Raw genomic sequence first — 12,242 nt, 5'->3', positions numbered from 1 at the left:
GTATTCAGATCTTTTACTTTAGTAGGTGCTGCCACGCCATTTTCAGATGTAATTTTGTAAAAGTCAACACTCCCATAAGTGAAAGAAAGCTGAGAGATCCTATTGCTCACTGACACTCGGGCCCATAAGATTTTTTTTTTTTTTTTGAGACGGAGTTTTGCTCTCGTTGCCCAGGCTGAAGTGCAACGGCACAATCTTGACTCACTGCAACTTCCGCCTCCTGGGTTCAAGCGATTCTCCTCCCTCAGCCTCCTGAGTAGCTGGGACTACAGGAGTGTGCCATGATGCCCGGCTAATTTTGTATTTTTAGTAGAGATGGCGTTTCTCCATGTTGGTCAGGCTGGTCTTGAACTCCCAACCTCAGGTGATCTGCCTGCCTCGGCCTCCCAAGTGCTTAGATTAGAGACATGAGCCACTGTGCCCAGCCAGGCCTGTCAGACTTTTAAAATTCTGCTAATCTAAGTGGTGGTGTTGAAATAGCTCTTTGAAGTTTTAGTTCACATTTCTCTAATTACAAAAGAAATGGAGCATTATTACCTTCATAATTAAAGTGTGTTTTTTTCAGTTAGAGAAACATAAGATGAAGACCAGGACATACACTGTCAGAGAGATTCTTACACATTTCTATTTGTTCATCTGAAATGAGATTTTGCTGGGGTTTTTGTATTTATTTACACATAGCTTCTGGATGGACATGCACCCTTGTAAGTCCTGGCAAGGTACTTAACTCCTGGGGAAATGCACAGATGACAGGGTATAGTTTTGATACAGAAATCTTTGGCTGTTGGTCGAAAAGTGGTAGTGGAAGTTCTCACACGGTCTCAAGACCAGCAGCATCCACATTGCTTGGGAAATCAGCGGGGAAGAAAAAGAATCTCAAGAGTTGCACATGGGCCGGGTACGGTGGCTCACTCTTATAAATCCCAGCACTTTGGAAGGCCGAGGTGGGCGGATCATGAGGTCAAGAGATTGAGACCAGCCTGGCCAACATGGTGAAACCCTGTCTCTACTAAAAATACAAAAATTAGCCAGGCCTGATGGTATGCGCCTGTAGTCCCAGCTACTCCAGAGGCTGAGGCAGGAGGATCGCTTGAATCCGAGAGGCAGAGGTTGCAGTGAGCTGAGATCGCGCCACTGCACTCCAGCCTGGGCGACAGAGCAAGACTCCGTCTCAAAAAAAAAAAAAAAAAGAGTTGCACATGGGGACGGGGCAAGGAGAAGCTATTTGCTTCAGGTGTGGGACAATTCCCTGGAGGTGGGAACGGAGGGAATAGATCCAGCACCTCCATAAAAAAGACTGCTCATGTTGATTGATTTACTTCTGAGAGACTTGAGTTTTCCCAGAAATTAAAACAAAAATAATGAGATGTAAGAGTAGCAGCTTAGGATGAACTGAGAATAGGGTTGGGGATGGATTGATGAGGGGTTAGAGGGGTGCTGTATTCAAGAAAAACAGAGAAAAGAACAACTATCAATAACTATCAATAGGTAGTTTTTTATCCTCACCCTCCTCCCACAGTCCACCCTCAGGAAGGCCCCAGTATCTGTTGTTCCCTGCTTTGTGTCCATGTATAATGTTTAGCTCTCACTTGTAAATGAGAACATGCAGTATTTGGTTTTCCGTTCCTGTGTTAATTTGCTTAGGATAATGACCTCCAGAACAAACGCTGGATCTGGAAAGGCAGCAGCAGGCTTCCTCAGAACAAGTCCTGCTCCGGCCTCGCATACATTTTCCAAGTCAAGGATGTGTTCCCCACCTTATATTCATCCAGCCAAACGTGCACCAGTCTTAGGTAGTTATGTGTCATAGCACTGATGATTGTAGAAGGTTTTCCAGTTTGTTTCTTACTGATATGTCCTACTCGAGAGCAGGGGATTATAAAGAGTTGGCCTCCACACATCCAGATCTAGGCATAAGAAGAACAAAAAACATACGAATGCATTATTACTGCTAACAGGCAACTGCTTTTAAACCAATATAATGGCCAGGTGCGGTGGCTCATGCCTGTAATCCCAGCATTTTGGGAGGCCAAGGCAGTCAGATCACCTAAGGAAGGGAGTTTGAGACCAGCCTGGCCAACGTGGTGAAACCCTCTCTCTACTAAAAATACAAAAATTAGCCAGGCGTGGTGGCGCATGCCTGTAATCCCAGCTACTTGGGAGGCTGAGGCAGGAGAATTGCTTGAACTCAGGAGGTGGATGTTGTGAGCCGAGGTCGTGCCACTGCACTCCAGCCTGGGCAACATAGCGACACTCCATCTCAAAAACAAAAAACGACAACCACAAAAACCCATAATAATGGCTAATTAAGTTTCTTATTTAATTCTCACAACAGCCTTATAATTCAGATTCTGTGATTATTCCCATTTTACAGATGAGGAAACTAACACATAGATTGGTTAAGAAGTTTGCCCAATGACACAGAAGTTACACAGTAGAGTACAAGGTTCAAATTTAGAAAGCCTGACTGAGAGCCAGCAATGAAGATGAAGGGGTTCTGCCTCTCTCATAATTACCTACAGGAATTGCTGGATGTAGGCAAGAAACAAGAGAAATGCTGATCATGACTGAATTCAATTATTCATCTTTTTTAATACCTAAAACTCCTTATGTTGCTCACTTTTAATAGCTATTAATTTTACTACACAAAAGTAAAATATAACCATTGAAAATTTGGCAAATGCAGGAAAGCACACAGAAGAAAACACAATTCACTTCTTGTCCTAACATTCCGAGTGAGTCAATATTAACCCAGGTATATATGTAAACTCACGTAGACATAAACATTAAGATAACTTGATTTTTTTTCATTTGATGTTGTGTGAAATTATTTTTGAAGTCTTATGTTGTTTGGACACTTTGGTAGCTTCTGATTTTTATTATTAAAAATAATACCCCAAAGAACGTGCTTATGATATAAATCTTGTGCACCTGATTTCTCATCTTACAGTATACTTGCCATAACTCTTTTGTTTAATTACTCTAACCACTCTGTGAGTAGCTCTCACACCAACACAACTCAGCTATTCTGGCTAAGCCTAGAAGAACCACTTTAGCGATACAATGGATTATGAGAAATAACCATTGCTTGTTGCTTTAAAGTACTGTGTTTTGGGATAGTTTGTTATACAGCAAAAGCTAGCTGATACATGAAGGAGCATTTTCCTCCTAACACCAGTTTTTGTTTTTTTTTTTCTTTCCAACTTTTGTTTTCAGTTCAAGGGTACATGTGCAGGCGTGTTACATGGGTAAAATGCATGTCTGGGGGTTTTGAGCACAGGTCATTTCATCACCCAGGTAATGAGCATCGCACTCAATAGGTAGTTTTTTATCCTCACCCTCCTCCCACAGTCCACCCTCAGGAAGGCCCCAGTATCTGTTGTTCCCTGCTTTGTGTCCATGTACAATGTTTAGCTCTCACTTGTAAATAAGAACATGCAGTATTTAGTCTTCCGTTCCTGTGTTAATTTGCTTAGGATAATGACCTCCAGCTCCACCCACTTTGCTGCAAAGGACATGATTTTATTATTTTTAAATGGCTGTGTAACATTCCATGGTGTATATGTACCACATTTTCTTTATCCAGTCCACTGGTTTTTGTTTTTGTTTTTTTGAGACTGAGTCTTGCTCTGTCATCCAGCCTGGATGCCCCGCCATCCAGGTTCAAGCGATTCTCATGCCTAAGCCTCCTGAGTAGCTGGGATTACAGGTACACACTGCCAAACCCAGCTCATTTTTGTATTTTTGGTGGAGATGGGGTTTCACCATGTTGGCCAGGTTGGTCATGAACTTCTGACCTCAAGTGATCTGCCCACCTTGGCCTCCCAAAGTGCTCGGATTAGAGGCGTGAATCACCATGCCTGGCCCCAGTCCGCTGTTGATGGGCATCTGGGTTGATTCCATGTCTTTGTTATTGTGGAAAGTGCTACAATGAGAACATAGGCATGCATGTGTCTTTATGGTAGAACAATGTATATTCCTTTGGGTAATATACCCAGTAATAGGATTGCTGGGTCAAATGGTAGTTCTGTTTTAAATTCTTTGAGAAATCTCCCAACTGCTTTCCACAATGGTTGAACTAATTTACACTCCCACAGCAGCAGAGTATAGCATTCCCTTCTCTCCACAGCCTCGCCAGCATCTGTTTGTTTTTTTGTTTGTTTGTTTGTTTTTTGACTTTTTAGTAATAGCCATTCTGACTGGCTAACACCAGTTTTATTTACTCAAGTAAATAAGACCTCCATCCACTTAGCTGGTCATTCCAGAAACTTGGTGTGATAGATTGAAATCTTGTTCAATAAACAGCTCAGTCCTTGTCCCTCATCTTGCAGAACAGCGTGTTTCCCTGACCCACTGAATTTGGGCTTCTCTGTTTGACACATTTGGCCAATGGATCGTGAGCACACATCATGCATGCAGAGGTATAAATGTGCTGTGTGGTTTGGCTTGACTTTTGAATTCCTGCCATTCAGCATGAGAAGGATATGCTGTGAGTCGCTGCTACTCCTAGAATGATAATCAGATCTGAATCCAATTCAGAGACTAGAGCCCAGCCCAACAACCTGTATTCTGAGGCAGAGCCACTTTGGCCAACCATGGACAGATGAAAGAAAAAGTAAATGCTTATTGTTCTCAACCACTCAGTTTTGAGGTGGTTTATTACATAGCATCATGATGGCAAGAGCTGACTGCTGCTGTGACAATAACTGCCTGAATCCTAAAACTCTTAGGAATAGAAATTCTGAGCAGATGGGCCAAGGGTAACCCACTGAGGTACTGGAGTGTTCCAGGCAGAGAAGGAGGAGACTGTTGAGTGACTTGCCTAATTCTCCCTTGTGCAGGTGTTTGAGAATTTGCTTGACTATTTCTCTATTACAGAACATATGGTTTGTTTTCACACCAGAGCATCCAAGGAGATTTAGCAACCTTGGGTGGAGTCTAAACTGGCATTGATATCTAAGAGGTTCAGCATGGGGGAGAGGCAGAGAAAAGGGCTTCTCTAGGGATAATCTTTCAAGTGCAGGGCAAGGCCCTGGTTCCTGGAGCAGCACACCTTGCCAGCATCTGGGGATGGCAGGATGGACTGCAGGTGTCGGGGAGATCAGGTGAACCAAGACTGCAGATTGTTGGGGCTGTTTGAGGCCAGCCTCTGTTTTGCCAGGAAAATTGAAATGCCATGTTGAAGCTCAGTTACCAGAACCATTCAGAGACTGGAAGTGAACCTGTAGCTTTGTGGGCATCCACGAACCATCACTTTCCACGAGCAATAGTAGCACTGAGTTCAGGGCAACTGAAAAAAAATTCAGAGCATTGGAGGCTTCCAATACATTGCCGGCCTCAGATGGAAGTGACTTAGAAACAGGGTGGAACTGAGCTGGTGGGGTCTCAAGACCTGAAGTTGAGTAGACAGCATGAGGCAGGAAGCAACAGGTTGGGAGCAGAGTGCTTACTAGTTCTGTGAATTTGGGCAAGTTACTCAACCTCTCTGTGGCTCGGTTTCTCCACTAGAAGTCAGAGATAATGGTGGTACTTACCTTACAGGTTTGTTAGGAGGATTAAATGAGTTAATATCTGTAAGATTTTAGAGCAGTGCATGTCAGATATAAGAACTTGTTAAATAAAATATATTTTATCCTTTACATGTATCTTAAATGTCAGTTCTTCAGGGAAGCCATCTAAGACACATAATCCCCCAAGAGAAGGCTAGGTTCTCCTTTTAGAGGGTCCCATAATACTCTGTATTTTTCTATTGCATTTATCAAAAATAATTTTTTTTTTTTTTGAGACAGAGTCTCGCTCTGTCCGCCCAGGCTGGAATGCAGTGGCACGATCTCGGCTCACTGTAACCTCCACCTCCCAGGTTCAAGCAATTCTCGTGCCTCAGCTTCCTGAGTAGCTGGGATTACAGACGTGTACCACCATGCCCAGCTAATTTTTGTATTATTAGAAGAGACGGGGTTTCACCATGTTAGCCAGGCTGGTCTCAAACTCCTGACCTCAGGTGATCCACCTACTTTGGCCTCCCCAAGTGCTGGGATTATAGGTGTGAGCTGCCGCACCTGGGCCAAAAATAAAATTAAATATCTGATAATCTCACCCTACTCAATAGATAGAAGATTCATGACATTAGAAGCACTTTTGGCTGGACGCGGTGGCTTGTGCCTGTAATCCCAGCACTTTGGGAGGCCGAGGCAGGCGGATCACAAGGTCAGAAGATCAAGACCATCCTGGCCAACATGGTGAAACCCCATCTCTACTAAAATACAAACAATTAGCCAGGTGTTGTGGTGCATGTCTGTAGTCCCAACTACTCGGGAGGCTGAGGCAGGGGAATCGCTTGAACCTGGGAGGCGGAGATTGCAGTGAGCCAAGATCGTGCCACTGCACTCCAGCCTGGCGACAGAGCAAGACTCCGTCTCAAAAAAAAAAAAGAAGCCACTTTCGTATTGTGTGCCACTGTATTTTAGCACCCAGCACAGTGCTTCATACATAACAGTACTCAATACATATTGTTGCATGGATGAATTAATGAAGACTGTGTCTTCTTCTCAATGCTCAGCATACAGCACAGTTTGACTTAAAGGAAGTGCTCCTTAAATGATGGCTAGATTGAGCTTAAATATTACTCTCAAGAGATAGTCCTAAACTGAAACTATAGAGTTGGATATTATCGTGATACAGGTATTAGTTACAGCCATGGGGACTGATGCAAGTATCCTACTAAAAATATCAACAAGGGTGTGGCACAGACCCTCGGCGATCAGAGTAGACTTGCCCTGCCAAGTGCTATTCCCTTAGTTACTGGAACATGGGAAGGTCCAGGGAGCGTAGACCTATGGTTGGGCTGCAGGTGGAAGGTATTTGGTTGGCTCAGAGTAGAGGTTTTTTCACACCAGATGCAGAAAGACTGCATTATGTTAACAACCAGTGTGGCTTCACAGGAGCAGAGGACCTGGATGCTAGCCCTGAGCCCTGAAGAGCACATGGGGTAAGAAGCAAAGTCTGACAAGGATGGAAACCTTGGGGACACCTGTGTCTAAGAGATGAGCCACAGCAGAAATTCCTACAAAGGAAACTGAGAACAACTGAGCAATGGAAGGCAAACCAGGAATATTGTCCTAACGTCCAAGAAAACTTCCAGAAAAGACAGTTTAGTGTCAGATGCTGCAATGACCTCAGATAGATGGAAGATCAAAAGCCATCCATTAAGGACATCACTACAAAACTGGTGGCAGTTCCTGGAACGATGTCACGGAAAGCTGAGGGCCTTCCAGGATATCGATTTACTGGAATGAGGAGTAAACGAGAAATGAAGAGGTGTATGCAGGTGCAGAGATCATTCTTTTCTCAGGAAAGACAAGGTTACTTGTCGTGGTTAGAGACAGCTGCCAGTGTCAAGAGAATATTTCAGCTACTTATTAATTTACATACTTCTTTATAAAAAGACACCCAAGTATATTTAAAAGATATGACAGGCCATCAGGAAAGGCGCCATTGAAATATTGGAGTAGGAATAATTAATGTTTGAATAATAAATTAGTTGTCATTTGCTATCTATAGGGAATGTAGGGCCAGAAAAAGGAATATACTGACTCTCCAACTCTGCCTGTATAATACACAAAACTGATCACAGTTATTAGATCCTGAAAGGAGGTGAACTCCTTGAGCCATTTTCTTAGAGTGCAATATAATAAAACAAGGAATAATCAACTAAACAGAATAAAATGCGCCAAAGGCATGAGCGTTATAAAATAATGCCTACGTCCAAAGGGAACATGAGAATGAAAAAAACAAAGCAAGCAAACAAACAAACAAACAAACAACAAAAACAACAAGCTTAAGAGGGACCATCAGATAGAGGCTTGGAGGAAACTATATTGTTCTAGATATTTTTATATGCATAATCAAGTATCTGAAGCATTATGAAAGAAGTCTGCTTGGGAACTTTAAAAGTGAACAAATAACTGGCCAAAAGAAGGAAGGAAAAGAGAGAGAAAATAAAATCCAAAACAGAAAAAATTGGAAAAAACACAACTACTGAGACAATAAAGACAATAGATTTAAAATATTATATTAATTTGATATACCATACATCAGAAATAACAAAACATATGGTATAAGAACCAAATATTTTTAAATTAAATTAAATATATTTATTTTAAGAAGTAGAGTCTAGGCACAGTAGCTCACACCTGTAATCTCAGTGCTTTGGGAGGCCGAGATGGGAGGATTACTTGAGCTCAGGAGTTCAAGACCACCCTGGGCAACATAGCGAGACCACATCTCATAAAAAAAAAAAGTAGAGATGGGGGTCTTGCTATGTTGCTGAGGCTGGTCTTGAACTCCTGGCTTCAAACAATCCACTTGCCTCAGCCTCCCAAAGTGCTGAGATTACAGGCATGAGCCACCACACCAGGCCAAGAATCTAATATTTTATTAAATGTTTTCCATTTTTACAAGGAGCCCCATAAATTGTTTATTGCATGTGCTGCTGGAATGGTACTGGATGTTCATGTAGGAAAATTGAGCATAATTACCACAGCATTGTATGTGACAAAGTTAGGTTTCACTCTCTATAGCTATTTTAAAAATGAAATCTGAATTACCCTTAGTGAAAGTTCCAAATTTTCTCTTCCCCAAAAATCCATATCCTTGTCATACTGTCCAATTTCATTAAAATAATGCCGACGTATAGCAAAAATTCCTCCAGACATTGCAGGTGACCTAGAAAGGGGACATAAATATGAAATTAATTTCACAGAGAAAGTCATTCTGTAGTTTCCTCAAAATTATATTAAATTAGTAATAACTTATAGTTTAAAATGAGAAAACAGGCCGGGTGTGGAGGCTCATGCCTGTAATCCCAGCACTTTGGGAGGCCGAGGCGGGTGCATTACGAGTTCAGGAGATCGAGACCATCCTGGCTAACACAGTGAAACCCCGTCTCTACTAAAAATACAAAAAATTAGCCAGGCAAGGTGGCATGCGCCTGTAGTCCCAGCTACTCGGGAGGCTGAGGCAGGAGAATCGCTTGTACCTGGGAGGCAGAGGTTGCAGTGAGCTGAGATCGTGCCACAGCACTCCAGCCTGGGACGACAGAGCCAGACTCTGTCTCAAAAAAAAAAAAAAAAAAAAAAGAGAAAACATTAATACTAAAATTATCCTATTATACATTTAAGTATATAAAATTACTAAAAACCACAACAAAAGTAGGCAATAACTTTTACTTAGTTCTCACCAAAATGTGTATGCGATATATTCTAAATGTTTTCCTAATGAGAAGGAAAATGATATTTGGAATGTAAGTTTCCCATGAGGATGACAATTGAACTGGGTAGCAGGGCTCAGAGCTCTCCCTTTCTAAAGACATTAGGTGAATTGTAATATTTACTTCTGGACAAACCATAATATTAAGAAGCATCTTGTTTTGTCCACCAATAGTAGGGCCAAATAATACCAAACTAAGTAGTTTGAAAATAGTCACAGCTGGGTGTGGTGGCTCACACCTGTAATCCCAACACTTGGGAGGCTGAGGCTGGTGGATCATTTGAGGTCAGGAGTTCAAGACCAGCCTGGCCAACATGGTGAAACCCCATCTCTACGAAAAATACAAAAATTAGCCAGATGCAGTTGCCCGCGCCTGTAATCCCAGCTACCCAGGACACTGTGGCATGAGAATCGCTTGAACCTGGGAGGCTGCAGTGAGCTGAGATCGCACCACTGCACTCCAGCCTGGGCAACAGAGTGAGAATCTGTCCCGCCCCCCCCAAAAAAAAGAAAAAGAAAAATAATCACAAGTTTACATTCATTTGTTCAAATAAGTATTTATTGAGCACCTATGTTTTAGGGATATGAGTCACTCAACACACAAACCAAGACCCATGTGTAGGGGAAAGGGTAGGGAAGCCAATTAGAGGGGCTGCAGAGAAAAATAATGGGATCCGGGATAAGAATGCAGCAATGTAGGTAGTAAGATGCGGTTGAATTCCTGGCATATTTTGGAGATGGAGCTAACAGATTTGCTTATGGGTCGGGTGTGGGGTGCCTACTGCACCAGATGTGACACACATTGCCGAGTGCACCAGATAGGAACATTCCTATCAGAATCCAGTCATGCTGTTATCTCTGCCAATTACAAAATTAAAACCGCCTTATTTTGACCCCACTTCCTGTCAGTTATGTCCCCTTTTCTCTCTTTCGTATTAAAGCCTTAGAAAGATTTGTCCATCACTATCTCTAATTCCCTTAAACTCCCTTCCATCAGGCTTCGCCTCCCGCCATTCACAATTAAGACTTGTTCATGACCTTCTCATGGTTTAGTCCAATGCTCATTTCCAGTCCTTCTCTCGCTGATCCAGCCACTGTGTTGGATGCTGCTGGCCACACCCTTCTCTTGGACACACATGCCTCCCTGGGCCTCCAGGGAACCAGATTTCCTGGTCCTTCTCCTCCCTCCCTGGTTGCTCCTTCCCATCTCCTTTGCCAGTTCCTCTCCTCCTCTCAACTGTCAATGTTGAAGCACCCAGGGCTCAGGGCTGGTCCTCTACACTTCTCCACTCACCCACATAGTGATTCTCATCCATCCTATCCATGACTCCCAAAGGATGCCTCCAGCCCTGACCTCTCTCAAAACTCCAGACTCATGATTGAATCCATATAGGATTGTGTTCAGTACCAGAGAATCAAAGAGTTATAGATGATATGAAGATAAATGTCATATCATGTTATAGATTGAGTCCTAAGTAATTCTATTGACAATAATTCTATTACTGTATTAAAGACTTCTAGAAGCAAGTAACAGAACAATTTGATTAAGCCTAAGAACTTGAAAGAATAATCTCTGGAGGCTTTTTCCCCCTGGGTCTCAATATACATATTCTATATTTTTCCAAAACCAGAAGAAATCTCACCAGATTGGTTTAGTAGGTCCTTCTGGCCCATCCATCTCATAAGGGACTCATGTATCCAACTGCATCCAACTACCTACTTCACATCCCCACTTGAATGCCAAATAGACATCTCAAATATGCCCCAAAGAGAATCTTCCTGCCAAAAACCTGCTCCACTCATGGTATTTCTCATCTCAGGGCACTGCAGTTCCGTCCATTTGGTGTGCAGGCCGAAAACGTTGGAGTCAGCTGTGGTCTGAGACAGCAGGGAGAAAGTGAAAGGGCCTTGCTCTGCCCTTAGAAAAGGGCAGGTGGCTGGGGGAAAAGGGCATGATCCTTGGTCATGGTGATGCCTGCATGTCAGGGAGCTGGGGAGGTCTTGAGTTATCATTGGCTTAAGCCCTAGGCATGATTTTGCTTTTTGTGTGTGTGTGTGTTAAGTTTTCCAAAACTCATTGCACCTAGCTTTTTTGGTCGTCATTAGAACTAAGGGAAAAATGTATCTTCAGATATGAATGCTAATTAATACCATGACTAATATGTAACAGATGCTGGCGAGGATGAGGAGAAAAGGGAACGCTTGCACAGTGTTGGTAGGAATGTAAATTAGTACAACCGCTGTGGAAAACAATACAGAGATTTCTCAACGAACTAAAAGTAGAACTACCATTGAATCCAGCATTCTCACTATTGGGTATCTTCCTAAAGGGAAAGAAATCATCTGTGTCAAAAAGATACCTGCCATTGTATGTTTATCACAGCACTATTCACAACTGTAAAGTCATGGGATCAACTAAAGTGTCCCTCAGTGGAAGACTGGATAAAGAAAATGTGGTATATATACACAATGGAATACTATTCAGCCATAAAAAAGAATAAAATGATGTCTTTGGCTGCAACATGGATGGAACTGGAGGCCATTATCTTAAGTGAAACAATCCAGAAGCAGAAAGAGAAATACACATGTTCTCATTTATAAGTGGGAACTAAATAATGTATACACATGGACATAGAGTGTGGACTGACAGGCATTGGAGACAGAAGGGTGGTGACAGGAGGGCAATGGATGATGAGAAGTGACTTAATGGGTCCGGTGTACATTGTTTGAGTGGTGGATACTTGGAAAGTCCAGACTTTACCACTAGGCAATATAGCCATATAACAAAATTGCACTTGTACCCCTTATATTTATACAAATAATAATAAATCAATAAAATAACAAAATAAAATTTATTTTTTCTTTTAACCTTTAAAAAATAACTTATGTTTTCTTATACATATTATATATTTTAATGTAACATACAATTATAATATATGTAATATGTATAATATATATTACATATAATAGGTACA

The 12,242-nt window shown here is 42.1% G+C and overlaps 1 protein-coding gene across 7 annotated transcripts in view; it reads right to left on the bottom strand.

Moving 5' to 3' along the window:
- The window catches only part of GALNTL5 (polypeptide N-acetylgalactosaminyltransferase like 5), a 63,484-nt gene that overhangs the window by 3,379 nt on the left and 47,863 nt on the right, over positions 1–12,242 (bottom strand). For all 7 annotated transcript variants that reach the window (NR_033169.2, XM_006715862.5, NM_145292.4 and 4 more), the window contains 2 exons: positions 8,607–8,724; positions 1,758–1,907 (listed from right to left, as the gene is read on the bottom strand). Coding sequence is in view for 6 of the 7 variants with exons in the window: in XM_006715862.5 (XP_006715925.1) it covers positions 1,758–1,907; positions 8,607–8,724 (268 nt within the window). In the remaining variant the exon portion in view is untranslated. The remainder of the gene's footprint in view (positions 1–1,757; positions 1,908–8,606; positions 8,725–12,242) is intronic.

The sequence above is a fragment of the Homo sapiens genome, chromosome 7 (assembly GCF_000001405.40).
Source record: "Homo sapiens chromosome 7, GRCh38.p14 Primary Assembly".
In the NCBI taxonomy this organism is placed as follows: domain Eukaryota; kingdom Metazoa; phylum Chordata; class Mammalia; order Primates; family Hominidae; genus Homo; species Homo sapiens.
Note: the sequence above shows the minus strand (reverse complement) of the source record. Positions and strands in the feature narration are given on the sequence as shown.